This window comes from Homo sapiens, chromosome 12 (genome assembly GCF_000001405.40).
Source record: "Homo sapiens chromosome 12, GRCh38.p14 Primary Assembly".
Lineage (NCBI taxonomy): Eukaryota > Metazoa > Chordata > Mammalia > Primates > Hominidae > Homo > Homo sapiens.
This window is the reverse complement of record NC_000012.12, coordinates 9,632,493-9,660,001: the sequence shown is the minus strand read 5'-3', so window position 1 is coordinate 9,660,001 and position 27,509 is coordinate 9,632,493. Positions and strand designations below refer to the sequence as shown.

Here is a 27,509-nt window from a genome sequence, read left to right as displayed (position 1 = left end):
GGGAATCTCTTGTAGACATCTGTTAAAAACAAGTTAGAACAATTCTAAAGGGGAGTCAAATGCTTAGCCAAAATATGAGGGTTATCATTAAGATGTGCAGGGTAGAATGCAGAAGAAATCCTATACCAAGGAGAAACCAGCTGAAAATATCTGGACATTGGAAACTTTATCCACTAAGTCCAGCATGGAGGCTTTCCGAAGATGTCTCTCTCAGAGATTTTGCCAACTCCAAGCCCGCTTAAATATGACTGGAAGTATTTACCCAGGTACAGCAGCAATGTTAGAAGTCACTGAGCAGGCCAGGTGCAGTGGCTCATGCCTGTAATCTCAACACTTTGGGAGGCCGAGGCAGGTGGATCACCTGAGGTCAGGAGTTCGAGGCCAGAGGCCAGTCTGGCCCACACGGCAAAACCCAATCTCTACTAAAAATACAAAAATTAGCCAGGTGTGGTGGCACATGCCTGTAACCCCAGCTAATTGAGGGGCTGAGGCATGAGAATCACTTGAACTCGGGAGATGGGAGGTTGTAGCGAGCTGAGATCATGCCACTGCACTCCACTCTGGGTGACAGAGTGAGACTCCATTTAAAAAAAAAAAAAAAGTCACTGACCAATAAGATCTCATTACTGACCATAGTATCTTATGGATCTAGTTTGTTCCCAATTCTGGTATCTAATGTCCCTAGCTGGTCAGATTTTTAAGAAGGGGAAGTCACCTGAATGTCCCTGGAGCATCCCTAGTCAGGATCGAGGCAAGAGGGTTGGGGGACTCCATCAGGACTGTTATAACCTAATATTGGAGGAACTTAGGAGAATTCAGGATCTAGTTCAGTCCACAGGCAGATAACAAGGACTTGAAGACAATGTACAGGGTTAAAATCTAAAAACAGGTGTAACTTTGCTTTCCTTAGAAGCATAATTTTTCTCTCCCGTTGATGATGTAGGAGATCTTAGATTTTAGAACCTCTTGAGGCTAGGAAACCAAACCAAAGCAGCCTTTGGATTTTGCTTATAATAAGGTTCTTGAACCTGCCAGAAAGTGACAATTTTTACTCATTCCCTGTAAAGCTGGGAACTCATGAAGCAAGGCATTTTACGCACTTTTTTTTTTTTTCTGAGACACAGTGTCATGCTGTCGCCCAGGCTGGAGTGCAGTGGTGGGATTTCCACTCACTGCAACCTCCACCTCCTGGGTTCAAGCAATTCTCATGCCTCAGCCTCTCGAGTAGCTGGGACTACAGGCGTGTGCCACGATGCCTGGCTAATTTTGTGTTTTTAGAAGAGATGAGGTTTCACCATTTTGACCAGGCTGATCTCAAACTCCTGGCCTCAAGTGATCCACCCACCTCAGCCTGCCAACATGCTGGGATTACAGGTGTGATCCACCACCCCTGGCCTCTATGCACATTCTGAAATATGACATTTCAAGCCAAACCTTAGCAATATAAATAATGTTTCCAACTGGATCCTGCTTATAAAGAGAGAGTGGATTTTTACTGAAGTTGTATAAATAAAACTAAAAATATCCACAAATAGTTTCTGAATTTTGAAGGAATCAAGTAGAGAGAAAAAGCAAATGCTTCCATATTTGTTCACAAAGGATTATTTATCAAATTATTGCAAACGGTAGATAGCTTGTGACAGAAAATTTCCTTGGCTCTGGAAAATAAAACATTTACGTCATAAAAACATCCTTATAAATTAATTTTACGTAATTAATTTTGTTTTGCTTGATCTTAATTAGCAATTTTGGACTATAGCTGATTGCGAACGCTTCCAAAGAAGAAATTAAAATAATAACTGTGAATGACAAAAACCCAGAACAGCCATAGGTAAAGATCTGATTAACGTTACCAATTAACCAGGAAATTTAAGTGCTTCTGTGGCATACAATCATCCAACATAAAAATTGCAATTATTACAGGTATCTCAGCATGTCAGTATCTTAGGAATCTCATAAAATTTCACATTTCTATAAATGATGAACTTACACAAACACAGCTTAAAGAAAGGTAAAACACCATTTCTTATTTGACAATGCTTCTAGCAGTATTTGCCAAATAAGCCTAATCATTTAATAACTCTACAAGAAAGACAAGCCTTTGGAGGAGCATATCTAGGGGGTCCACCTGGAAAAATCCCAGTCATTTTTAGGCCAAAAGGCTTAATTTAGGATTTGGATTCTAGAGAAACCTGCCAAAGATGTCAAAAAGCTTAAAATACTTCCTTCAACAGATAATAAGTCACTGCTAAGAATACTACTCATTTAATCAGAGTGACAACCTAAAGACCTCAGAAAGTTACATGGATGGAAAAACTTTTACCCTTTTAAGGCTCAGTTTCCCTAAGCAGTCAAAGCCTAATAAAGACACCATGAAGCACTGGGAATTATCTTGGTAAAACACAGAATCTTTGTTTTCTAGGCCAGTGACCTTGATCAGGGGAATACATTTAATAACAACATAGGAAATCCTAGTAACAAAACAATTTTGACACATTAAGAAAAAACAACAATATAGAATCAAGTTTTGCTGAAGTAAAATGTTGCCTTTCTAGACCTTTAAGATAAATCCCAAACCAGGACTAGACAGTTCTCAGGAAGGAATGTGGCAGAAATAGGAATTAGTTTGTAATTCAGAATGGCTGTTAAGGAAACATTGCAGAATTAAAAATCAAAGCCTCTTGTAATCTTACTAAGAACAAATCAATATTTTAAGAGACTCATATTGTTTTAATGTAGGAGACCAAAATTTAAGTTTTGTATCAGTGCATCTTAACATCAAAGTTCCATTTTTTCCAACTTTTATTTTAGATGTAGGGGATACATGTGCAGGTCTGTTACTTGCAGTTTTTCCAGGGGCATGGTGGAAGCTGCTGCTGATTCCACCATTCTGGAGTCTGGAGGATGGTGGCCCTCTTCTCACAGCTCTACTAGGTAGTATCCCAGTGGGGACATAACTGGCAACTGTAGACATAATTGTTTGGCTTGCTACAAATCCATTTTCTGTTCATGTAGATTCTGCCACTGTTGACTCCATTGTCATTCAGGAAGGCACATTCTCCACTTCCTCTGATAGCAAGCCTAAATCCAAACACAAAAATATTAAATATTTGTAAGTTAGACACCTGCATTTGTTCCTCCCCATCATCTTCTGCAACCCCTCCATATTTCAATGTGAATAAGAGAAAAGCAAAAGTCTGTCATTAATATTGCTTCATAGTAATATAAACCATTTCTGTATTTAGTGTCCTTTATGTCCTCAAGGTCCTTGCTTGAAAATCACAAGCTTATCATTCATCCATACCAAGCCCAGCTATGTTGATAGGTATTTAACTGATGCTTGCTGCTGTACCCAAATGAACTGCTGCCATTGGTGGTCTTCAGTCAAGATGATTTCCAGCCTCCTCCCAAATTGTTTTGTAAATGTGTGAAAACTAAAAAAAAAAAAAAAACTAGTAAATTCCTGAAAGGGCTTAGCTTTGATTAATGGATATGACTGGGTTCCTACATTTTATCTGCTGCAATGTAATGATTATATTCAAAATACCCCTTTGAAATGTTCACAGTCCAAGGAACTGTTACTAGTTTCCTTCTGGTGATAAAGCTTTAGGAGGGAGAGATTCCCATGAGTTCCCTGGATGCTTTCCTATTGTAAATGGATGCAACACCTGCAAGAGTGGGCTTAACAGCCTTGTGGATATCAGCTCCTCAGTGGCTTCCTATGATTGTAGAACCTTTGTTGCACATCAGCTATAAGTAGGGATTTCAGCAGTTTTAAATCAGTGGATGAAAGTGTAAAATTGTGAGAAATGTCACTGTCACATTAAAGACTTCAACTGAAATCACAGGTAAAGCTTTCCCAAAGACACAGCTAACCAACTGAAGAGCATAAAAAGGGTTTAGATTTCTTACCTCATATTGCAGTAAGTTTTCCATGATACTACATTTCTTATCTCATAAACACAACTCACACACATAACCATACATAAACACAGCAAAAGATGAGAAGTCTCAAAACATACATGTTATTATATTCCATGTTGTCTGTCCATTTCCAAATGCGATGGGATGATTCTCTTCTAAGGCCAATCCAATGGTCAGAAGGGCCTTTGTATCTTTTCAGGAAATTCTATAATAAAACAGAAACTAACACCATGAGCCCCTTTCTTTCATATTACTCTGGAGTCTCTCTTCCCTATCCCTTCTCTTTTTCACTGGCAGCGTGGTATAATTAAGCAGCATAAATTCTGGAGTGAGACTAATTCCCAGTTCTCAGTTTAAGTCATTTAACGTCTCTGATCCTAAATTACTTTATTTAAAGTGAGCATAAATCCCAGTTTCATTGGGAAATTCTCAGTTTATGCTTGTCATTCCACCAATGTATTAATGATCACTTTTAATGCCCTATATGTCTTAATCTAGATGACAAATTATATAATTACCTTACTTCTTAATAGAATGAGAACAATACATCTCATCTTACCAGCTCACCATGAGCATTACATGGGGAAATATATCTAAAATGTCTCACAGGGTTCCAGGCAGAGAACACACCCTCAACAAATGTTAGACATGAAAACACATCTCATGCCCCTGGAATGGGATCCTTCTTAGTATTTCAGCTTTAACCCTATGTAGCCGACCTGCCTCAGGGGGCTAAGTATTTAACAGAAAACATGATCCAAAAATATCTCTTACCAGTTCCTCCATAGTTGCAAACTGAGCAAGGCTGGCTTCTAATGAGACACAGAACGTTTGACTCAATGTCTAATTTCTTATGCCTTCAGAAAAATAAAAACATTTACTCCTAAATCTAATTCAGCTTTTTGGGCAAGCAGCGTATTTAGATGACTCTACCACTGGCTTTTCCTTTCTTGCTAAAAGTGAGACAATCACAATGAAACATAATAAAGAAATTTTCTCACCCATTTTATCTATTTTTCTGCTTACCTTCCTGAGGTCAATTTTGAAGTGTACATATCTGATTGTTGTTTTCCTAACTCATCACAAAGTGCCTTATCCTAAGCACAACAATCGTCAGTCCGGTGGTTTCCAGCTGGGTATCTGCACCCTTGACTTTCTGAAATTTACACTGACACTAACAGTTTCAAGGAAATCAATTTCTATAGCATCGACTTCCATAGTACTGTACTTTCACAGGGTCATACGGATGATTTTTCCATATCCTCCCTCATATTAGCCCTTCTTTCTCTTGACAAAGCAATGCTGAGGACCTATTACCTCTATACAAGAGATGATTTTTTTATGTATACAGTTCTCTGTACTTTCGTGCATTCTCAATCTGCTTAAGTAGAAGATACCAGCTCTTAAGGCCAGGTGATTTGCCTGAAAACATTTCAAGTAGAGATCTTACTTTATTTTTAATAAAAAATGACAATTCTGAGAGGAACTTGTCAGGAAATAGTTCCGTAAGCGGAATTCCTATACCCATAGCCTTTCTCATATCAATGGACGGCAAATGCATTCTTGCCAAGGCTCAAAAGAAGACAGGCTTACCTTTGACATTCCTCTGAGACGTTTTATCCAATTTGACATAAAATACTGTTGGCTCAGCTTTCAAAATATCCAGAGTCTGACCACCCTCCCCTACCTAGTCTCAATATAGCAATTAAATGATTATTCTACAATGAAAGTCACATCAAGACATTCCTCTCGTACAACTTCCCTCATCTAGTCTCCCTATTGCACTGAAGGTCAAAGCCAAAGTCTTTAACTGACCCTCAAGGTTCCTCCGTTCCTGATTCCCCATGGTATCACTCTTCTTCTCCATCTTCACTTTGCTTCACCTACAGCAGCCTCCTTGCTCTTCCTCAAATAAGCCAGGAAGAGTCCTCCTTCAGGCTTTGGTCTACTTGTTCTCTGCCTGGAATAGGTTCCTTCACATGGTTCCTCCATCTCTTTCAAAAGGTTGCTGAAATGTCACCTTCCTAAGAAGGCTTAGTTTTGTCAACCTATTGCAACCTGTTATACCTCCACCCTTATTTATTTTTACTTGTGTTTTTCTGCTGGAATATAAGTTCCAAAGGGCAGGAATTCTTTTGTGTGTATTTTGTTTGCTGATGTAATTCAAGCATTTCACACAGTGACAGGCACATAATGGAGCTTAATAAATATTTATTGACAACAAAAACATATGGAGAATATTGTACAGTTTGGAGAACAAGTAACTTACCTGACAAAACAATAGAAAGTGCAATCACACTTGTAGTCAGGACTGCAATGATGAACAAGCAACAATAAACCTTGACAGGAGTTACTGGAGATATAAGTGCTAGACATTGTCTTTGCAGAGTTTTATCTGTAAAATAGAAACATCAGAATCTCAATCTCAGGAATATCGTAGGGAGAAAAAATTTATCATAGAATCAACACTAAGATCAGATGTACTTCAATTCTCCTACTGCCAACTCCTTTCACAAAAGGGCTTGGTTCATAAATGAGAATAATGGCCCAAAGAGGGCTAGAGATAAAAATCGAATTCTCCCCACCCCCAGGGAATCTTCCAGTTACTGGAAAAAGAGTAGAAATTGGGATGAAAAAGAAACATACACAATCCAGATTTAGCCCCATAGTAAAGCAGCTGGTTAGAAGCAACAAGGGAAGCAGAAAATAAATCAATGTAATTCACCATATTGACAGAATGAGACAAGGGACAACATATGAGCATCTGAATAAATGCAGCAAGAGGATGTGAAAAGCTTAATATTCATCCACGATAGTAAGACTCAACAAATTAGAAATTGAAGAACTTTCTTCAACCTGATAAAGGGCATCTACAGAAAAACTACAACTAGCAACAACCTTAACGATGAAAGAATAAATGCTTTCCCCCAGTGACATAGAACAAGGCAAGGATGTCTGATCTCTCTCACCAATCCAATTTAACATTTTACTGGATGTCCTATTAGGGGCAAAAAGGCAAGAAAAAAGAAATAAATGTCATACAGATTGGAAAGAAATAAAAGCATTGCTATTCACAGACAACACAGTTGTCTGCATGTAAAATTCTAAGGAATCTACCAAATGGCTATGAGAATAAATGAATTTGGCAAAGCTACAGGATTACCTATGTTCATATATAAAAATCACTTATATTTCCATATTCATAATTATGAAGTGGAAATTTAAATATAAAAACAGTATCATTTATAATAACATGAAAGATATCAAATAAATATATCAAAATATGTTTAGGATCAGTATGATGAAAGCTGGAAACCAAAGGGACAAAGAAATCAAAGCAGACTTGAATCAACAGAGAGATATAAGATATTCATAGATTGGAATATGCAATATTGCTGGATGTCAATTATACCCAAACAGGTTTAGAGATTCAGTGCAATACTGATAAACATTGCAGTATGAATTTTTTGTAGAAATAAGCAAGGTAATTTTAAAATTATATGAAAAAGCAAAGAACTAGAATAGCCAAACAATTTTGAAGGAAAAAAAAATGGCCAAATTTGGAAATCAGGGAACCTGCTTTCGTAATTTACAAAGTAATAGAAACAAAGACAGTATGATATTGACAAAAGAACAGACACATAAATCAATGGAACAGAAAAAAGGTTTCAGAAACAAATCTAAACGTGTATCATCAATTGACATTTGACAGACGTGGAAAGTAATCAGGTAGGTAAGGGGTAATATTTTCTGAACATGTAGTGCTGGAACAATTGAGTGTCCTAATGCAAAACAGTGAACCTCAGCTCACACCTAATACCTTATAAGAAAATTAACTCAAAATAAATTTTAGACTCATATATAAAGCCTCAAACCCTAAAACTATTAGAAGAGGAAAATTACATTTTTGTGAACTTGAATTAGGCAAAAATTTCTTACATACAACACCAAAAGCATTATCAATATTTTAAAAATTGATAAATTGAACTTTAACGTAATTAAAACTCTCTGCTAGAAAAAAAACCCTGAAAAGGGAATAAAAAGACAAGCAAAGGCAGAAAAACATCTCTCTAAAAAGCGACTTGTATCTAGAATATATTAAGAACTCAAAACTCAACAATAAGAAAACGAAAACTAGATTAAAAAGTGGGCCAATGATTTGGAGATATACTTGATTAAAGAGGATATATGAATAGCAAACAAGTGCATAAAAACATGCTTGAAATAACCAGCCATTTGAGAAATACAAATTAAAACCATGAGTGACTACTACATGGTTATTAGAGTGGCAAACAAAACAGAAAAAGAAACAACTGCTGGTGAGGAAGGGATGTGATATGGTTTGGATCTTTGTCCCCACCCAAATCTTATGTTGAATTGTAATCTCCAGCGTTGGAGGTGGGGTCTGGTGGAAGGAGATTGGATCATGGGGGCAGATTTCCCCCTTGGCACTGTGTCATGATAAGAGTGAGTTCTCGTGAGATCTGGCGGTTGAAAACTGTGTGGTGCCCTCCCTCACTTCCTCTCTTCCTCCTGCTCTGGCCAAGTGAAGTATGGACTCCCCCTTTGCCTTCTGCCATGAATTGTAAGTTTCCTGAGGCATCCCCAGAAGCTGAGCAGATGCCAGAATCATGCTTCCTGGCCAGCCTGTGGAATGGTCAGCCAATTAAACCTCTTTTCTTTACAAATTACTCAGTCTCAGGCTATTTCTTTATAGCAGTGAGAGAATGGACAGGATGCAACTGGAATTTTCATGCATCATCACTGGAAATGCAAAATGTTATGGGCATTTTGGAAAACAGTTAAGCAGTTTGTTATGGTAAATGTAAATTCACCACATGCCCTAGCCATCCTATCCCTAGGTATTTAAACAAGGGAAGTGAAAACTTGTGTTTACCCAAAAACCTGTAAGGAATATTTTACACCAGGTTTATTCATTATCACAAAAAACTAGCAACAACTCAAATATGCTTCAGCTGCTGAAGAGGTAAACAACTATTCCTCAGCCCTAATAAAAGAAAAAACTCGATCACACATTCACAATTGTCAATTTCTTACTGTGTGTTAGCTGGCCAAACTTTTGTCAGGTTTTTCTCCTCCCCACAGGCCCTACACGTGTTTGCCCGCAAGTTTGCCTAAATGCCTCAAAGCACAGACTTGCAAAAAACATCCTGCCTTAACCTGACCACAGACCACATTGCACCATTTCCTGCTGAAACGCCTAGACTTTGCCTGCTCTCTCCCACACCACTAACTTTTTTTTTTTTTTTAAGACAGAGTCTCTGTCGCCCACGCTGGAGTGCAGGAGCATGATCTCGGCCCACTGTAAGCTTCCACCTCCCGGGTTCATGCCATTCTCCTGCCTCAGCCTCCCGAGTAGCTGGGACCACAGATGCCCACCACCATGCCCGGCTAATTTTTTGTATTTTGTTTAGTAGAGACGGGGTTTCAGCAGGTTAGCCAGGATGGTCTCAATCTCCTGACCTCGTGATCCACCCGCCTCAGCCTCCCAAATTGCTGGGATTATAGGCATAAGCCACCGCACCTGGCCTAACATATTTTTGAAATCAGTGTTATTCCTATTGCAACAGTCCTTTTGAATAAAGTTTCTCCCTAAGTCCAGACTTGTTTTTCTTTGACAAATGATACATACTATAATACAGATGACTTGAAAATGCATTATTGCTAAGTGAATGAAGTCAGATTCTACATTTACCTACTGCAAGATTCCATCGATGTGACATTCTGGAAAAGCAAAAGTGCAAGATCAGAAAACAGATGAGTGGTTGCCAAGGGCTAGCGGTAGAGGAAGAGACATTCTACAAAGGGACATGAGGGAATTTCGAGTGGGTGGGTATGGCTCTATATCTTGACTTTTATGGTAGTAACATGAGTATATATGTTTACCATAGAAATCTACACCAAAAGAGTGAATTTTACTGAATATAAATTATAATACTTTAAAAGTCCCTGCCAACTTTCGTCCGTTTAATATACATCTACAAGAATAACAGGGAGCTTCAGCTTAAATTCTAGACAGGGGGAAAGATGGGTAAGATTGGATGATCTTAAGCAGTAAATATCGTTTGGATTTTGGCTCATATAAAAATATCAACCTTTATTCTTTCTGGTTCTACACTAACGCAAAATTGTCTTAAAGGTTCAGAATACTAAGACTTCCGTAATTCTTTTTCATTGCTACTAGGGTAATGTGTAACTCTCCCCTTAAAACTTCCCCCAAATCTCCCATTTGCCTCTCTTAATAATCTTCTAAATGTGCCTGCTTTCTCTTCTTCTTTTTTACATCTCTAGCCCCTCCTACTAATACTGAGACAGCCAGGTGGGAAGGGGTCCCTGGAGAAACTCCAATTAGCCTGCCCACTGAGGTGGAGCCTTGGGAAGTTCACAAGGTTTGCAGCAGAGAGAAGCCTGAGCCTGGCCCCAGTTTTTCATTTGTAGAACCTGGGATTCAAACTGTCAGGTGGGAAGCGCTCCGGCGGAAGGACTCTGGCCCTGCAAGAGTACCTGTTTCCCCCTTTTTTTCCCTTTTTCACCCAATAAAACTCTGCTTCACACACCCTTTAAACCATCTGCGAGCCTGAATTTCCGTGGCCGTGGGACAAAGAATCCCATTTTTAGCTGAAATAAGGAAAAGTCCTGCAGCAATATTCCCACATGCATCTTGTTCCACTTCTCTCTTGCTCACTTATTTCTCTTCTACCTTTCTTACAGTGTGTCCTGACTCCCGCAAATTCATACCACTCTTAAGGTACACACTGAACACAATAACTCTTCAGACTTCTAGTTGGAAAAACAACATTAGGAATTATCTCTCAGAAGAACAGAGAAATAAAGCATTATTACTGATCAAATTTTAACTCAGTTTCAGGATCTGAAAAACTTAAATCACAGGATGCATTTTAAAAAACAAGTTTCACAACTGTACCAGGTAACAAATATTTAGTTTCGGTTCTGTAAACATTCTTTAGAATATAACATTTGGCTTAGTTAGTAAGAATATAACTTAGTAGGAATGTAACTTAGCCAAAAGTTACATTTGTAACATCTAAAAAATGTTAGAACGTACTGCTCCGGGACACAAATTTAAGAAGACCGATTTGAGTAATAATAAAACTCCCATCACCTGCAAAGCCGGCTCTGCGTGAATTACTCTTTCTCCATTGTAATCCCCGTCTTGATAAATCGGCTCTATCTAGCAGACAAAGTGAACCCACTGGACGGTTACAACAGTACCATGAATGCTAAGAGCTAGGAGCAACATGTTACAAAAACAGTGGCATCCCTTAAAAACAAGTTTCCCCAAGAAAGGTGGGAGGAAAATAGGGGCTCAGGACAGTTGCAAATAGATGTCTATCTTCCAAATAAAATGCCAAGTCTTCTTGAGGTCACAGCATCCACAAGTTTCCAACTAGGCTGGAAAAACAAGTTGGATCAGAGAGAGGTTGGGGGAGGGCCCGTGGGTGGCCCTGAAGCAGGCCACTAGGACGCCGTTTCCCTCTCTCCGCCCTTCCAAAAGCCCTTAAGCCACAGACAGCCGTGGCCCGTCCAGGGGGCACTCCCCTCTCAGGTCCCCCAAAGTTCTGCAAACTCTGACGACAAAGGCAAGTCAGAGTCCCGTGACATGTGGGGAGGCATCGCACAGATTTTTCTTTTCATGGCCTGGTCAGAGAGAGTGCTCACCCAACCGAGAAGGCCCTGGCGGGGTCACACTGGCTAAATAAAAAGCGCCTTCTTCTGCTTTTTTCGGAGCTCCAGGTGACGGCTCCTCCTTCACTCCAGGGCGGAGCTCTGCAGAAAAGGCGGGGAGGCACGGAGGGAGGTGTACTGGGGCTGCGGGATTCGCGGCTACATGGGCTTCTAGGCTCTCTCGCGCCCACCCTGCCCCGAGCTACGGAGCCCCTTCCGGTCCCGCGGACTCCAAGCCTCAAGTTTCCGCCACACCCTCCAGAGAAGCGTCCCCGCCGCAGCCCCGGGGGGCGGGAGGCGCGAGGCGCGGCTGCGCCCAGCACTGGCCCCACCTCCCACGCGCCCGCGGGAGATTTGCTTGGGGCTGGATCCCCCGCCTACCGTTTCCCCGCAGCCGCCGGCGCTTCTGGCGCTTGTGACCCGAGCAGGAAGCCCAGAGAGAAACCAGAAAGACAGGAAGGGGATTCCTGGACTTCCTTTCCACATCCGGCAGGAACGCGACCCTCCTCCAGCTAGGAGCGCTTGTCCGGGTCTGGTGGACCCCTTACCCTGTGATAAGGACCCAGAGGATGCCCTTGTCCCCGGGATTAGGGGGAACCCAATGGAGGCCTCCACCCGGGGCCGATTCCCACCCTGGGCCACAGGAGCTTTTTAGGCAGTGAAACTATTCTATGTGTAATGGTGGATATGTTATAGGAGGCAGAAACGAATTATTTGGGTAGACAGGGTAAAGCCAGTCCCCGGTAGAAAACTTTGCTTTTAACAAAAAGCAGCTCAAAAATAGCTCCCTTGCTAACCTCATGCAGTTCAAAGAAATCACTTTTCTAACAAGAGGCCTGAAAGAGCAGACAGTAAAACACAGAAAAGACAGCTGGGACACAGAAGGACTGGGGTGGACAGCCGAGAGTCTCCCGGGTAATCACCAAGCTTCACACTTACACGATGGGCCCCAGTAAAACAGTGGGCCTTAATAAGCACATTCCTTTCTCTTTAGGCGCACCAAGATGCCTGCAGCTTCAAGAAGATGTATGGGAACAGACACAGAAACTTTCCCTACCAGATAAGCAGGACAAAGAAACACAGACTAAGAGTTGGCCTGTGTGGTCACGGAGTGGGTTAAGAGATGATAAAAAAATCTGCTCTGTACAGATGGCACACCTGGTCCCAACTAAACCCTGGGGCCCTAGAAAGATAAGACATCCCCTCCTCACAAGCCCCTCCTCAAGAGCCCCCTCCTCAAGAGCCCATTTATAAAAACTCTGACATTCTTAACTACAACTTGGCAATCTTCTCAGGATCCCTCTCTAACAGAGACCTGTTCTTTCCTTTTGCCTATTAAACTCCTGCTCCAAACTCACTCTGTCTGTGTGTGTGTCCGAGACCTCGATCTCCTTGGCCATGAGACTAAGAATCTTGGTATTTACCCCAGACAACGAGGCTGCTGCAGATATATCTCACATGTTTGTCAAACCCACAGAATGTACAACAGAAAGAGGGAACCCTAAACGATGGACTTACTTACAATGTATCAATATTTGTTCATCAAGACAAATTGTACAACACTAATGGGCAATGTTAATAATAAGGGAAATTGTGAGGGAGGAAGAAGTGATAAATCAGAAATCTACACTTGCCACTCAATTTTTCCACAACCCTAAAACTATTCTAAAATAACATGTATTAATTATTTTTAAAAAGCAGATGACTTTTTGTCAGTTATGATTGTTTTTAGCTATGACATAGAAAGCTATAATCATCCTTCAATTTAACTTATAATTTGTTGATATATATATATCATATATATGTATGTGTATATATATATATTATATATGTATACACACACACATACTTTGCACCACAGGATACAGTAAGATTATAATTTTCTTACATGATAATGAAACAACCTCGATCACATTTCAGAAGTAGTGCCTTAATAGTCCTTCCACCTTTTGACTCTCTCTGAGGAAGTATGGAAAAGGAGATATGATGTTAATATCTAAGTTTATTGCTTGTGTAACAAATATTTTGCTATGTATGCATACGGATAATAAAAATAATAAAACTATATAGCCATAACTATCCTAATATAACCCTTATAAAGAAAAGTGTCTATGAAAAATGAGTGAGTTTCAGTGCATCACGGTGGTTTAAATTTTTTTTTCTTCCTTTATTTTTTCAAACTCTAAAAGACAGGCATAAAAGGATCTGATTGCAGGGCCTTAAATTTGACTAGGTTTCTTAAATGTGTCATCACAGTAAATGAAATGTAAGCCCATGTCTATTATATATGAAAAAAAGTTAATACATAAGCACAAGACTGTTAATTTCTGGAATTGCATTCAGAATTCTCCTGTCCTCAGAAGAAAGGAAATGTTCTGCCTCATGCATTATTGTCCTTTGTATATAAAGGACAATAAATAAAGGTTATGTAAATAAGTACACAGCCAGGATTCTTTTAGGACACACACATAGAATGTAAGTTATTTGGCTTTTGAATAAAATGATTACTTGCAAAGTCTGTTGCAGTTAGAAATGCTTACTGAAGCTGACTCAAATCTTTCCTCCTTATTATTACCTAGTTAAATAAACAAATGGCAAACATTTGTGTGGAGAGTCATATATTACGTGAAGTGCTAGATGGTGGCATGTTAATAAAAGGCCCTACTAGTAAAAAATGTAGAGTTTTTAAAATTGAAGTGAAAAAACCTTTATTGGATTTTTTAGATCTGCCTATAGTAACATCCCCAGTTCCCCTGCTAACATCATCATCATAGCAGTTACAATATATCTATCTCTTATTTTGCCTTAGAGTGGTATTACTCAAAGTGTATATCATGGATCAGTGGCAGTTCATGAACTATGTGTTATCAGTCCATGGTGAGGTAAACACAGACTTTATTAGTCTGTTTTCATGCTGCTGATAAAGACACACCCAAGACTGGGCAATTTACAGATAAAGAGGTTTAATTGGACTTACAGTTCCATGTGGCTGGGGAAGCCTCACAATCATGGCAGAAGGCAAGGAGGAGCAAGTCATGTCTTACATGGATGGCAGCAAGCAGAGAGAGCTTGTGCAGGAAAATTTCCCCTTATAATAAACATTAAACCTCATGAGACTTACTCACTATCACAAGAACAGCTCGGGAAAGACCTGCCCCATGATGCAATTACCTCTCACTGGGTGCCTCCCACAACACATGGGAATTCAAGATGAGATTTGGGTGGTGACACAGCCAAACCATATCACAGACATTGAGAGTAAGCATTTAAAAACTCATATAGCAATTTGACATTTCCTTAATAACCAAGTGGGTGAATCCACCTTGTTGGACAGGAAATAGACAAGTGTGGTACCATCAGACTCAGTGGTGGGTCACTTCTGACATGAGTGTGTATGAGTCACAACATTAAGAAGTTTGGGATCTTAAGGTTATTTTCTCAACTACAATCCAACTGTGCATAAAAATCTGAAATTCACATATTACCTTCTTGCAAAATAATAACAAATAATTGTGAAATTTACAGGATAACTTGTTGGAAATAGTTATTGATGATTTACTGAAAATAAAATTTGAAAACACGGCATCATTTGCATTATTTGGGGTAAGATTTAAAAACAAATAACCTTAACTTGCAGAAATTATCTTAAAATTTCTTTCTCTGTTCTCTTGAATATAGATCTTTGAAATCAGTTCTACTTTTAATGGTAAATAGAAATACTTGAGGTACTCTTTCTCTTCAGTGAACAGAATCTTGTCATAAATGCAACCTCGTAAGCTCATTTCTCACATTACAACTTTACATATTAATATAAATAAAATTTATTCACAGTGTGGGTGTAGGCATTTAATATAGGAAATACAATTTCATACTTAAACGGGATTAGTTACAGTTTTTTTTTCCTTTCTTCCATTTTGTTTCTTAATTGACAAATAGTAACTACATATTCATAAAGTATGTAGTGATGTTTTGATAGATATGATGTACAACAATTCTATTAGGGTAATTAGCATATCTATCATCTCAAACATTTATCATTTCTTTATGTTGGAAACATTTAATATCCTCTTTCTAGCTTTCTGAAACAATATAACATATTATTGTTAACTGTAGTAATCCTACAGTGCTATGGAATGCTAGGAGGTATTCCACTTATCTCGTGCACAGTGGAGAAACAGAAAATGGTTTTTTTTCTATCACATCATCAGGCTGAACATTTTCTAAACTTTTATCCTCTGTTTCCCTTTTAAAACTGAATATTTTAACAGCACCCAAGTCACCTCTTAACTGCTTCAATGCTTAGAAGTTTCTTCTGCCAGATACCCTAAATCATCTCCCTCAAGTTTGAAGTTCCACAAATCTGTAGGCTGCAATAAGTCTACATGGTTTCCAGGAGGTGAAGCCTGAACCCAACTGGCAGCACACAAAGCCTAGAATATCCTCTTTCCTGGTACCACCCTGTGCCACTGGACTCACGGTGTGAGATGAGTGACTGCACAACCACATTCAACAAAGGAGGAGGTACAACTGGGCAGAGACAACATCACAACTAGAGAAGATTACAAAATCATTCAAGAGGATGCTGAGATAAAGTACAGTTACCTACTCTCCATTATTCTTTGCTGAGAAAAGTGAGGGTATGGCATCAGCAGAAAATTATGTTTATTCTTAAATAAATCCCAATAGGATGGGGTTGATAGTCAGGCAGTAGAATGAGATAAAAATCTGCATTCATTAAAAATCTTTGTGCATAAGGAAAAGAACAGCAATGGCAAAGGAGAAAAGAGAGCCTTCTCTTTTTCTTAAATAAGACAGGAAACTGCATTCCTTTCCTTGCTGTAGTGGCAGCAGACTTACTGGTTTTCATAAAACATAATTTCTGCAATGTGGTCTGTTGATAAGGCTGCTCCATGATGGGAGGACAGACATGAGGCCAAGTGTTCATGACAGAACTAGGTCTTCTCTCAAAGCCTCTAATGTGTGCTATTTCTCATGAGGAACCTGACACTATATGACACTTCAGTTAAAGCTTCTGAAATATTGCAATGGCATAATTGACAGGTTTTTTGGTGTGGTGACTTTCTTGTACATGTAAACTCTTTGAGAAAAGTTGGGGATAAAAGGACAGGGGAGCATTTGGTTTAGAGCCACAATGTTCCAGACGCCAGCCACGGATCCCTCTGCCCTGTGTCACTACACGTTCTTTTCTGAGAAACATTCAATTGCTGAGTGTTACACACCGTGGTTGAAGAAAATGATCCACTCACCACCATCCGCTCTCTCTCATCCTCTGTGTGAAGCTCCCAATAGCAGAGGCTGAAGACAGAAAGGTCGTCTCTGTTTCCTTGCACCAGGTACATTACTTGGTGACCTGGTGAATGGCATGGGCAAGGTAGCCCACGTTGCCGGAGGTGACCCCTGCCACAGAAATGCGGCCGTCCTTTGTCATATAGATGGAGAACTCCTTGGTTAGCCACTCCACCTGTTCAGGCTTTAGCCCTGTGAAACAAAACATGCCAGTTTGGGCAGTGCTATGTGGCCAGTTGTGGGTGGAACCCTTCTTCTTGAGGTTGGAGACAAGCTGAGTCCGCATGCTAATGATGTGGTCGGCCATGCCTTTCACTTCTTGCAACCATTGTTTTCATGAATCTGGGGTGTTCAGAATGGTAGAAGCAATCTGGGCCCCATTGTGGGGACGGTTGGCATACGTGGAATGGATCAAGATCTTCAACTGTGACTCTACCCTTTTGGTTTCATCGCATCTTTGCATACTACAGTGAAGGCTCCTACACGCTCACAATATAAGCCCATGTTCTTGGCATATGATTGGCAGAGACAAACATTAATGCCCTGTTCAAAGAAGTGGTGCACAGCCCGGGCATCCTTATCACCATCACCACTGGTAAAGCCTTGGTAGGCTATGTCAAAGAAGGCAAAGAGACTCTTCTTCTTCACCATTGTTGCTGTATCCTTCCACTGTTCCAGACCTGGGTCCACTCCCGTGGGATTGTGGGTGCAGGCATGCAGAAGAACAACATTTTGCTCTGGTATTTTTGAAAGGCCCTCCACAGCGCCTGTGAAGTCAAAATCGCAAGTCTTGGGGTCATAAAGCCGATAACCTTGTAGCTGCATGCCAGTGTCCCTGAAGATGGGCGTGTGATTTCCCCAGCTTGGTTTGGGCAGAAAGACATCTCAGCTGAACTTAAAAAATCTTTGCAGAAAGCTGGCTCCAATCCTTAAGGCTCCAGTTCCAGAAATGGTCTGCACAATGACAAACCGGCCACTTTTCAAGACTTCGCTGTTCTCACCAAGGGCTAGTTCTGCAGATGCCTTGCAAAATTCAGCCAGTCCCCCAGTGGACAGGTATTCCTTGTCCAAACTTTTTGTGGCAATCTGGGCCTCTGCCTTGGGGACGCTAGGCAGCACGTCCAAGGCTTTCCGTTATCATCCCGGTAGGCACCAACTCCCAGATTCATCTTTTTGCTATTGGTGTCCCTCTTAAAGTCTTCAATGACTGCCAGGATGATATCTGGAGGTCCCATTTCCACATGGGTCCATCAGGAGCTGGCTCTGGCAGAGGCCGCAGCTGCGAGGCCCAGGTGGAAGGTGGCAGCGATCCCAGAGAGGACGCAGCCAGAGTGCAGCAGGGCCACGGTGGACAGTAGGAGGGCAGTGGGCAGCTGCAGGACTGAGCAGAGGGCTCTCTGTAGTGTTTTAATTGCGAGAGACGATTTGTGAGGCTGATCTGAAGCTGTAGCCAATCTGGTCTGCTTTGCATGTCTTTCTGTATGGTCCATAGCAAATTTGCTGAGGACCTCCATCTTGTTTAACATCCTTGGGAGCAAGACCTGTAACCACTTGGCAAGGTTTTGTGTAGCCTCTGTGTAGCTTGGATTCAATCCTGGCTTAGGGAATGAGTCTTACCTGGTTTGATATCTGCATGACCTTTTGCTATTTGTTGATTCCATTTCTCTCCATGAACTGCCTTGGATTTTCCTTTCTCTGAGCCTTTAGTAAAGTTTGAAAGCCAGAAATATTGGCCACTTGGTGTGGCTAAATTCAGATAATAAGGGAGTTAAGAGGAATTTCTTAAGGAGTGCTCAGCTTAACTAAAAGTGGATATCCAAGTTAGAGTCATATTTAAAAGGTTTCCCTTTTCTTGGACCTTGTTTTGCTGGGAAAAGGTTTTTCTTGGTCAACTGAATTATTTTTTCTTCATTTTGCTTTGCCACTTTTTTAATGCACGCACAAGAGAGGAGAGACCTCTTTTTTTTCTCATGGACTCCAGAAATTAAAAGCACCCAGAGGCCAATAATCCAATTAGGAGATTGGCAAATGAAAGATCTTATGGGGACCGGGTTATCTTCTACCTGTCTGTGTAATTCTATATGTGTTGTGTGTGTGATGTTTACATAAAAAAAAGAGCTCTAATTAATTTTGCCTAAAGGAAGACAAGCACTTGGATCAAATATTTTATGAAAGAGAAGATAAAAAGCTGTGGTACCTTTCAGTTCACGTGACTTTAATCTTGGAGAAATAAAAACAGCCTTAAAGATTATTGGTAAAAAGCAGATGTCATAAAAATGTAAATAGGTGGACTAAATTATGCAGGTCAGATACTAGGTTGGCAAAATATTTTAAGGTCATAAACTGCTTTTTTGGTTTTTGAGAACTTTTCAATTTGCTGGCTTCACAATTGGCAAGGCCTGGGGACACATGGAACTAAACACTCCCTTAATTATGTTGGAAGGAGTCAAACCTTGGCTGCATCTAGCACATAATCAAAACAACTTACCAGGTTTTACATTAAAGTTAAAAACTGCTAAAAGTTACCATTATGACATGTAATTGAGACTATTGGAAATAGATTTACATGCAAGGTGCATAAGGACAGTGAAATGTGTTTTTAATAAAGATTATAAGAAATCATAAAAATGTAAATTCCTGCCTAGGGTTGAAGATTTGTTTTAAATTAGATAAGATAAAGCTAAAAGTTCAAACAACTGGTGGAAGGATTGTAAAAATTAATCTTGCAACAAATTCTCTGTGTGAACATATTGACTAACTTCAAAAAGTATTGTATGATTTTTCTGTAAATTGAGCATTCAAATAAAAGCACAGCAAGGTATCCTTAAGGCACTAATCTGCTCGTCAGCAAAATTTGTATGAAAGGGCTGTACAAGGTTTTTTCTTTAAAAAAATTTCTTAGTTGTTATTTCAGCAAAATAAATAACTTATGGTAATCCGGAATTCTATTTCATAACAGCAAGTATTTTAAGCCTCTAATATATTTAATAGGCTTTCCAAAATCAAACTTCAGTTTCAAAATTGTCTTTTCTGACACCTGGCTTTTCAGATACTTCAGAGGGCCCCTGGAGTGTTCAGAAAAGAAAGGTAAACAGGATTATGTGACACGTTTAGGTACATGGGATTGCCAAAATGGTATTCAGTCTTCTTTAGGTCATATTTTGGTGAATAATACTAATATGTGTTCCAAAATTGTATGGAATTTCTAAAATTCTAATGTCTAAAGAATATCCTATCAATCATAATTAAAGTTGTTAAGTTATTGTAAACTACAGAGATAACAAAACTTTGTCAATTGTGTTTCTAACTGTAACTACCCTGGACATATTGTTATTCACAGACAATTGTTGTTTTAATCTTTTTCAAAAGATGGTTTATAATAAGCTAGAGAACTTTTACAAGTGCTCTCAGATACAGGTTTCTCATACCTTTGGGGATTGTGACATTGGAATAAAGGAAAAATGTACAGAACTCATGAAGAGCTAAAATGTTCATAAATATCAAGCAAAATAAGGGTTAACTGGGTGAACTCAAAAAAATGAAGCAATCTTTCTCAATTTTGCTTGGATATTGCTGATCCTTGTTTTGTTTTTTAGAGTCAAGAAAACATATTTTGAACTATTTATAGCCTTTAATCATTGAGTAGAGTATACTCCTGTGAACAAAATTTGGAGTATATTTGCTTCTCTCTGCCTGGTTCCTGTAGAATTTGGAAATTATCTGTGAGTATTCTTAACTTACAGCAATATACTTGTTTGCATCAGTGCAGTAAAAATCCATTTTCTTTTGCAACAGGATGCAATTGGAGTAACTGGTTGTTTTACCAAGGCTTTGACTGGAAGGGTATGCTTCTCTTTAAGGAGTCAAGCTCAACTTGCAGAGCCAATAAAAGTCCCTTGGGGAAGGCCGGGCGTGGTGGCTCACACCTGTAATCCCAGCACTCTGGGAGGCCAAGGCGGGCGGATCACCTGAGGTTGGGAGTTTGAGACCAGCCTGACAAACATGGAGAAACCCCATCTCCACTAAAAATACAAAATTGGCCATGTATGGTGACACATGCCTGTAGTCCCAGCTACTCGGGAGACTGAGGCAAGAGAATTGCTTGAAGCCGGGAGGCAGCGGTTGCGGTGAGCCAAGATTGTGCCATTGCACTCCAGCCTGGACAACAAGAGTGAGACTCTCTCAAAAAAAAAAAAAAAAAAAAAAAAAAAAAAAAGTCCCTTGAGGAAACTGGTCTCAGAGCCTTGTCTATGCAGTTCCTGTACAGGGTTCATGACCTGTGATCAGTAAAGAATGTCACTTTCTAACAGGCCCAGGAGCTCCAAGTTTATCTTGGAACCTTAAGACAAGAGGATTACCCAACTCACAGGTATTTGAGGATACAAATACATGTCTGGGCGTGGCTTTAAAAGATCTTATTTGAGATTACTTGTGGAACAGCATTCCATCAAAGCCAATCAAAAGGCCTATGTAGAAATAATTATTTTTGCTGCACTTTATGCAAATAATCAGGCCAAGTATAAGACTAAATTCAATTTTGCAAACAACTGAGTCCTATCATGATTTGTGTTTTTAACAAAAATGAGGACTGGAGAGAGAGAAATTATGTTTCAAAATTTATCATACATTTGTCTTAAAATTCTAAACTCATTAGTTGTTTTTCAGTTTTTGCCTACATTTTCAGACTAACCCTGCTTGTTCCTGTGAACCAACCAGTGATCTCTGTGTGCAGCTCAGAAAGAACAAACAGGATGGGTAATGTAGAAATCTGGATCAATATTCTAGTTCTGAGCAATTATCCTGCAAATCCTACCAGGTGATGGGAATAAATAGGTTGCCCATCACTCAGAGGGTTTTTCTGGGGGGGAGGTGGGGGAAAGTAAGACCAAGGGAGCTAACCAAAGCCAAGCAACATGCACCCAAATCCTAGGAAGCATAACTATAGCCACCAGTTATCTAGGCATGTCACTGGACATCCTTTTCTCTCCCTTGTTGGAAGAGGACTCAATTCCACAGCTTCACTTTAGCATTTGGTTTATGATAAGGAGTCCATGCAACCCACTCCAAGATGCATTTTTGTCCCAAACTTAATTCCAAGTTTTGAGTCAAAGGCCTAGGAAAGAAAACTGGATCTGAGGGATCCAGAGGCAGATGATAACGGAAGTCAAAAGACATAGTGCAGGTGAGTGTGGCTGATTCCTGCCAATTAAGCCAAGCTTCCAGTTTCATGGATAAAGGCTACGCTAGTATCCATGGCATAAATGAGGTCTAGGGAATCCAAAGGCTACTGACAGAAGGGGAGATAGGGCATACATGGGTGAGAATGGATACTCCCACCTCTTAGGCCCTCACTGTTAACATGGGCGAAAGCCACTTTAACACCCATGGCCACTGGTCACAGTCACCAAGACTCAGGGATAAAAGGATGGAGGAAAGAAAGAGGAACACCTCACTTTTCCTCCCTCATGTATCCTGTGTATTTGCTAGGAAGAGAAAGGAATCAGAGGCACTGGCTCCCCTCTTTCTAGATGAGTAGCCATTCATCTTCAGTCTGTACCCCTTTCAAATGCATCTTGAATCCCTGGGACTCCTTGAAAAAACACCTTCCTTTTTCCTCCTCTGTCATCTCTTTAATGATAAGTAATTGTGTCTCCGTACTATGGAACACTCCCCTCAGATGCATCCTCCAAACTGGGAAGAGTTAATTTCCCAAACCTTAGACTGGTTGGCTTCAGACTGGGCTCAGGAGAAGGAGGCCCAGAACTATGACATGCCTGCACAAAAGTAAGTTTCCTTACCAGTCCAGCTTTTGTCCCCCACCCCCTCCATCTCCCTGTGTGAACTGGTAAAAGGCCTCAGGATTTTTGAGCTGTCTTCACCCACCCCCTTGTTTGGTTTTGATACATGTTTTCTATTAACCTGGTTTGTTTCTTCTCTCCTTCAGGCAATCAAACTCCAAATAGTCATGCAACTGGAGCCTTGGACAATGGCGCCTTCTGCTAGGGACACTTAGAGAGGCCTTTGAGGGAGATCTGACTGCCATTTCCCCAAAACAGCGCCCCTGTCGGCAGGAGGCAGTTAGGATTGGTCTTCTTTATCCTTATCCTTATTCTAACGGCAGTTAGATGTACTTCAGAGTGGGGAATGAGACAGCCACCTCAAAAGGGGTCTCCTGAGAACCTCTGACCGTCCTGTGCACTGGGAGGATGGGGTGGAGCCGTGGGACGTTAGCACTGTTTACAAGGGGGAGTAGCCTAGCCTCTCCTGTTCCTGGGTGATAACCAAGGATTCAATCTGCAAGGTGGGAAACTTCGTAGCAGGACTGTCACTTTGCTGAGAGTCCCTTTTTCCCACTTTTTTTTCTTTTTCACCCAATAAACTCTGCCCTACTCACCCTACAATGAGTCCTCATGCCTAAATTATCTTAGTCATGTGACAAGAACCTGGATTTTCCTACAACATAGAGATCTTTCACTTCCTTGGTTAAATTTATTCCTAGGTTTTTTTGTGTGTGTAGCTATTGCAAATGGGATTGCCTTCTTGATTTTGTTTTCAGCTAGTTCATTGTGTGTGTATAGAAATATTACAGATTTTTTCTGTCTTAACTTTGTGTCTTGAAAATTTACTAAGTTCTTGTATCCTTTCTGAGAGTTTTTTGGTGGACTTTCCAGTTTTCTATATATAAGATTATGTCATCGGAAAACAGGAACAATTTGACTTCCTCCTTTCTAATTTAGATTTTCTGTATTTTTCCCTCTTGTCTAATTGCTTGGGCTGGGCTTCTAGTACTATGCTGAATAAGAGTGATGAGAGTAGCCATCCATGTTTTGTTCCAGATCTTTGGGAAAAAGCTTTCAGCTGTCATAACCAAAATAGATCTGAGGAATGAGCATTCCTTACCTTGGGAACAGCAGGAGCAAAGGGCCTAAGGAAGGGGAACCTGGCATGTGCTAGGAATGGAAAGAAGTTCTTGTGGATCTAATATGATCAACATGGCAGTGGAGGCAGAAGTGGAGAAGGATGAGTGGTGAAGGTTGAGGCTGAGGACATGTAAAGATGCTAGATTGTATTGGACCTTGTTAAACAGCGAGAAGGATTTGGGTATCATTTTTTTCTCTAACTGCAAAAAGGAGCTATTGAAGGACTTCAAGCAGAGAAAAGATACTTTTGCATTTTTATATTTTAGAAGATACCTCTGACTGCTAGGTGGAACAGGTTTGCAGAAGGGTAACTGTGGAAGCGACAACTAGATCTGTTAATCTACACATCTGTACCTGTGTAAATACAGAAGTGAAGTGAGCCAAGAATAAAATCTTAATTTTGCATTTAGAGGAAAACACAGGAAAAGTCAGCAAATGAGAAACTGTGGCCCTTGAAGTGGGAAGAACAGTAGAATAATGTGTTTTAGGAAGATATAAGGGAAAGACATTGGACAGGGGCTACTTTGTTTATAGGATTACTTTTCAGTGGTTTCAATTGTAGAGGAAAAATACCCATATTCCTCAATTGCACTTATTATTTTCTAATAATGAGTCATAAAGAATGCTAGTAGTATGCAAGTAGCTAATACAATAACCTTATTGTATTTGAATCTCTGTAGGCTATTCTCAAAGAAAAATTGCATTGGACAAAGTTAAATAGGCAAGGAAGACTTTATTCAAAATTGTTGCAATAGGTGTCAAGCCTGTTCCAATAAGAAAGAGAGACTGTATTCAAATCTGTTGAACAAAAAGCAGGAGAGATTGTAAAGGCTGGAGTATGCTAGTGAAAAAGTTCTGGAGAATATTAGTGGGGAAGGTGGGTCAACATGATTAGGCCATCTGTATTTGCTAACTGGCACATATGGAAGTTAGAGTACTACCCTCCCACAGAGATGGGAAGATAAGGGAACTATTTTTCTTGATGATTATTTTTCAAAGAAATGGCTCCCAGGTCTTTGAGAAAGATATTCCTGGGTTGCAAAACCGATAAAAGGCTAGAGAAAAATTTAAATCTCAAATAAGAAGACAGAAAGAATTTATAGTGGGAAGTTTTCTAAAGTAAACAATCTAAGAAAAGAGAAGTAAAGGAGTGATACGTCAGGGAGAAATCTGTCTAAAGTTTAGTCAAGTTGAGGGGAACATCAAGGCAGTCCCGTTCATCCTATACATGTATAAAATCTTGTTCAGAGGTACCTTGACATTAACTCACCCTCAAAATTCTTGCAAAACTCATAACAGAATATTTTATTTACGTTTGCAAAGTCTAAGCAATATGGATAACATTTTGTGTTGAAAGCAGCTAAAAGGCTTTTAGCAAAGCAACACAATAAACACTGGTTTAATCTGCTTGAATTTAGCCAGACCACTCAACTAAGAGCAGAGCTACCTTTTTAAGAATTAAGCCCAGCCTTAGGCAAAACTGTGAAGTAGACACGATTTTGCTTTAGTTCTTCACCTCCATGTGTCCTGGTATAACAGCCCCCAATGATACTGTAGATTTTGAAAGAAGCCTGAATTTGGGAGTTGAGAAACAGTTCAGTCTTCCTGTTTACTCATCTACAAAGTAAAGAAAAGAATATCTACTTAGCAAATACAAGTATTGGTACCTCCAATGAAATAATGTGGATTTAAACATTTCATCAATTAGTTTCTGACTTCAGTACACAGGTGTAAGGACAGAAAAAGAAAGGCATTGCAGCGCCCTCTTCTGGGAACTGTTGGTAAACTAACTCAGATAGTTGAAATGGATTTTCTAGGTGAATACAAAAGTTTCACTCTAGGAATAACTGCTCCACTTTTTAAAATATACAGATACATTGAAGTGTGCAAACAAACATCAAATTCAAACTCTTGAAGAGAAACACCAATGTTCATCCTTTTCCTCAACCCCTATCCACACATCCATGCAGGCAGCCCAGGGGACCTCAGATTGAAAATCGGAAAATAACTTATCAAGAAGCCATGTCACTTATAGCATTAGCTCTAAAACTTTAATTCATCTATGTATTACCTGGAGATCTTTTAAAACTGCAGATTCATATTCACTGGGTCCAGGATTCTACATTTCTAACAATCTCCCAGGTGAGACCTACACTGATGGTGGCATGACTGAAATCACCTTTGAAAAATTATAACAGTGAGAATGTAACCACCCAACAGGTTCACCTTGCCCAAGGCCTAGACAGAGCCAATATATCAAGACAGGGAAATTGCAATAGAGAAAGAGTAACTCATGCAGAGGCAGCTGTGTGGGAGTCCAGAGTTTTATTCAAAACTCAAATCAGTCTCTTAGAGCATTCAGGGAGCAGTTTTTAAGAACAACTTGGTAGGTGGGGGGAATCCAGTGATACAGGACATAGAAATAAATTATTTAGGCAGATAGTAAGGACAACAGAGTCATAGGCAGAATTTTCCATTTTAACAAAAAGCAGCCCAAAAAATCATTTCTTTTCTAACAAAGAGCAGCCTGAGAAATCGAGCTGCAGACATACATGAGCAAGCTGGAAGCTTGCACAGATGAATGCCAGCAGCTGTGCCAATAGAAAAGGGCTACCTGAGGGCCAGGCATGTTCAACATGGAGGGTCCATCTTCTTTTCTTGTCATCACATGTACAGTAAAGGAACAGGCAACAAGGCACAGGCCAGGTAGAGAACCCATCTGCATAATAAAAGATTAGGGAGGACAGTTGGCATGAGGTTCTAAGATGGCCAAATAAGAACAGCTCCAGTCCACAGCTTCCAGTGTGAGCAATGCAGAAGATGGGCGATTTCTGCATTTCCAACTTAGGTAATGGGTTCATCTCACTGGGGCTTGTCGGACAGTGGGTACAGCCCACAGAGCAGGGCGGGGCATCACCTCACCCAGGAAGCGCAAGGGGTCAGGGAATTCCCTTTCCTAGCCAAGGGAAGCCGTGACAGATGGTACCTGGAAAATCGGGGCACTCCCACCTTAATACTGCACTTTTCCAATGGTCTAAGCAAATGGCACACCAGGAGATTATATCCCGCGCCTGGCTCGGAGGGTCCCATGCCCAAGGAGCCTCGCTCGCTGAGAGCACAGCAGTCTGAGATCGAACTGCAAGGCGGCAGTGAGGCTGGGGAAGGGGCGTACGCAATTGCTGAGGCTTGAGTAGATAAACAAAGCAGCCGGGAAGCTTGCACTGGGTGGAGCCCACCGCAGCTCAAGGAGGCCTGCCTGCCTCTGTCGACTCCACCTCTAAGGGCAGGGCATAGCTGAACAAAAGGCAGCAGAAACTTCTGCAGACTTCAAAGCTGTCTGACAGATTTGAAGACAGTAGTGGTTCTCCCAGCACAGAGTTTGAGATCTGAGAATGGACAGACTGCCTCCTCTAGTGGGTCTCTGATCCCCAAGTAGCCTAACTGGGAGACACCTCCAAGTAGGGGCCGACTGACACCTCATACAGCCAGGTGTCCCTCTGAGACGCAGCTTCCAGAGGAAGGATCAGGCAGCAACATTTGCTGTTCTGCAATATTTGCTGTTCAGCAGCCCCTGCTGGTGATACCCAGGCAAACAGGGTCTGGAGTGGACCTCCAGCAAACTCCAACAGACCTGCAGCTGAGGGTCATGAC

General features: G+C 40.5%; 1 long non-coding RNA gene and 2 pseudogenes across 10 annotated transcripts in view, besides 7 other annotated features; 1 reads left to right on the top strand and 2 right to left on the bottom strand.

Moving 5' to 3' along the window:
• Positions 1–1,586: 1,586 nt before the first annotated feature.
• Positions 1,587–27,509, bottom strand: part of LOC374443 (C-type lectin domain family 2 member D pseudogene) — a 41,132-nt pseudogene continuing 15,209 nt past the window's right edge. Inside the window, exons 1-5 of one of the 9 annotated variants that reach the window (NR_046448.1) lie at positions 26,481–26,583; positions 6,194–6,319; positions 4,699–4,877; positions 4,023–4,129; positions 1,587–3,081 (exon numbers count right to left, since the gene is read on the bottom strand). The product of NR_046448.1 is annotated as a C-type lectin domain family 2 member D pseudogene, transcript variant 6 (transcript). Of the gene's footprint in view, positions 3,082–3,304; positions 3,435–4,022; positions 4,130–4,698; positions 4,878–6,193; positions 6,320–11,068; positions 11,956–12,012; positions 12,084–16,898; positions 17,135–26,480; positions 26,584–27,509 lie in introns of those variants that run through there. The other 8 variants (NR_046444.1, NR_046445.1, NR_046446.1 and 5 more) reach the window with 8 other exon arrangements.
• Positions 9,122–9,301: an enhancer, noted in NCBI's record as "active region_5946". NCBI's record gives its function as "activates an Ori minimal core promoter by ATAC-STARR-seq in GM12878 lymphoblastoid cells {active_cell/tissue: GM12878}" and the evidence as "EXISTENCE:reporter gene assay evidence [ECO:0000049][PMID:35858748]".
• Positions 10,077–10,126: a silencer, noted in NCBI's record as "silent region_4230". NCBI's record gives its function as "represses an Ori minimal core promoter by ATAC-STARR-seq in GM12878 lymphoblastoid cells {active_cell/tissue: GM12878}" and the evidence as "EXISTENCE:reporter gene assay evidence [ECO:0000049][PMID:35858748]".
• Positions 11,201–11,380: an enhancer, noted in NCBI's record as "active region_5945". NCBI's record gives its function as "activates an Ori minimal core promoter by ATAC-STARR-seq in GM12878 lymphoblastoid cells {active_cell/tissue: GM12878}" and the evidence as "EXISTENCE:reporter gene assay evidence [ECO:0000049][PMID:35858748]".
• Positions 11,421–11,490: an enhancer, noted in NCBI's record as "active region_5944". NCBI's record gives its function as "activates an Ori minimal core promoter by ATAC-STARR-seq in GM12878 lymphoblastoid cells {active_cell/tissue: GM12878}" and the evidence as "EXISTENCE:reporter gene assay evidence [ECO:0000049][PMID:35858748]".
• Positions 11,761–12,060: a silencer, noted in NCBI's record as "silent region_4229". NCBI's record gives its function as "represses an Ori minimal core promoter by ATAC-STARR-seq in GM12878 lymphoblastoid cells {active_cell/tissue: GM12878}" and the evidence as "EXISTENCE:reporter gene assay evidence [ECO:0000049][PMID:35858748]".
• On the top strand, positions 12,014–12,989 carry LOC105369728 (uncharacterized). Its single transcript, NR_157802.1, has 2 exons — positions 12,014–12,161; positions 12,626–12,989. It is a non-coding gene; the product is annotated as an uncharacterized LOC105369728 (long non-coding RNA).
• Positions 12,171–12,220: an enhancer, noted in NCBI's record as "active region_5943". NCBI's record gives its function as "activates an Ori minimal core promoter by ATAC-STARR-seq in GM12878 lymphoblastoid cells {active_cell/tissue: GM12878}" and the evidence as "EXISTENCE:reporter gene assay evidence [ECO:0000049][PMID:35858748]".
• Positions 12,231–12,300: an enhancer, noted in NCBI's record as "active region_5942". NCBI's record gives its function as "activates an Ori minimal core promoter by ATAC-STARR-seq in GM12878 lymphoblastoid cells {active_cell/tissue: GM12878}" and the evidence as "EXISTENCE:reporter gene assay evidence [ECO:0000049][PMID:35858748]".
• On the bottom strand, positions 16,791–18,332 carry GOT2P3 (GOT2 pseudogene 3; annotated as a pseudogene).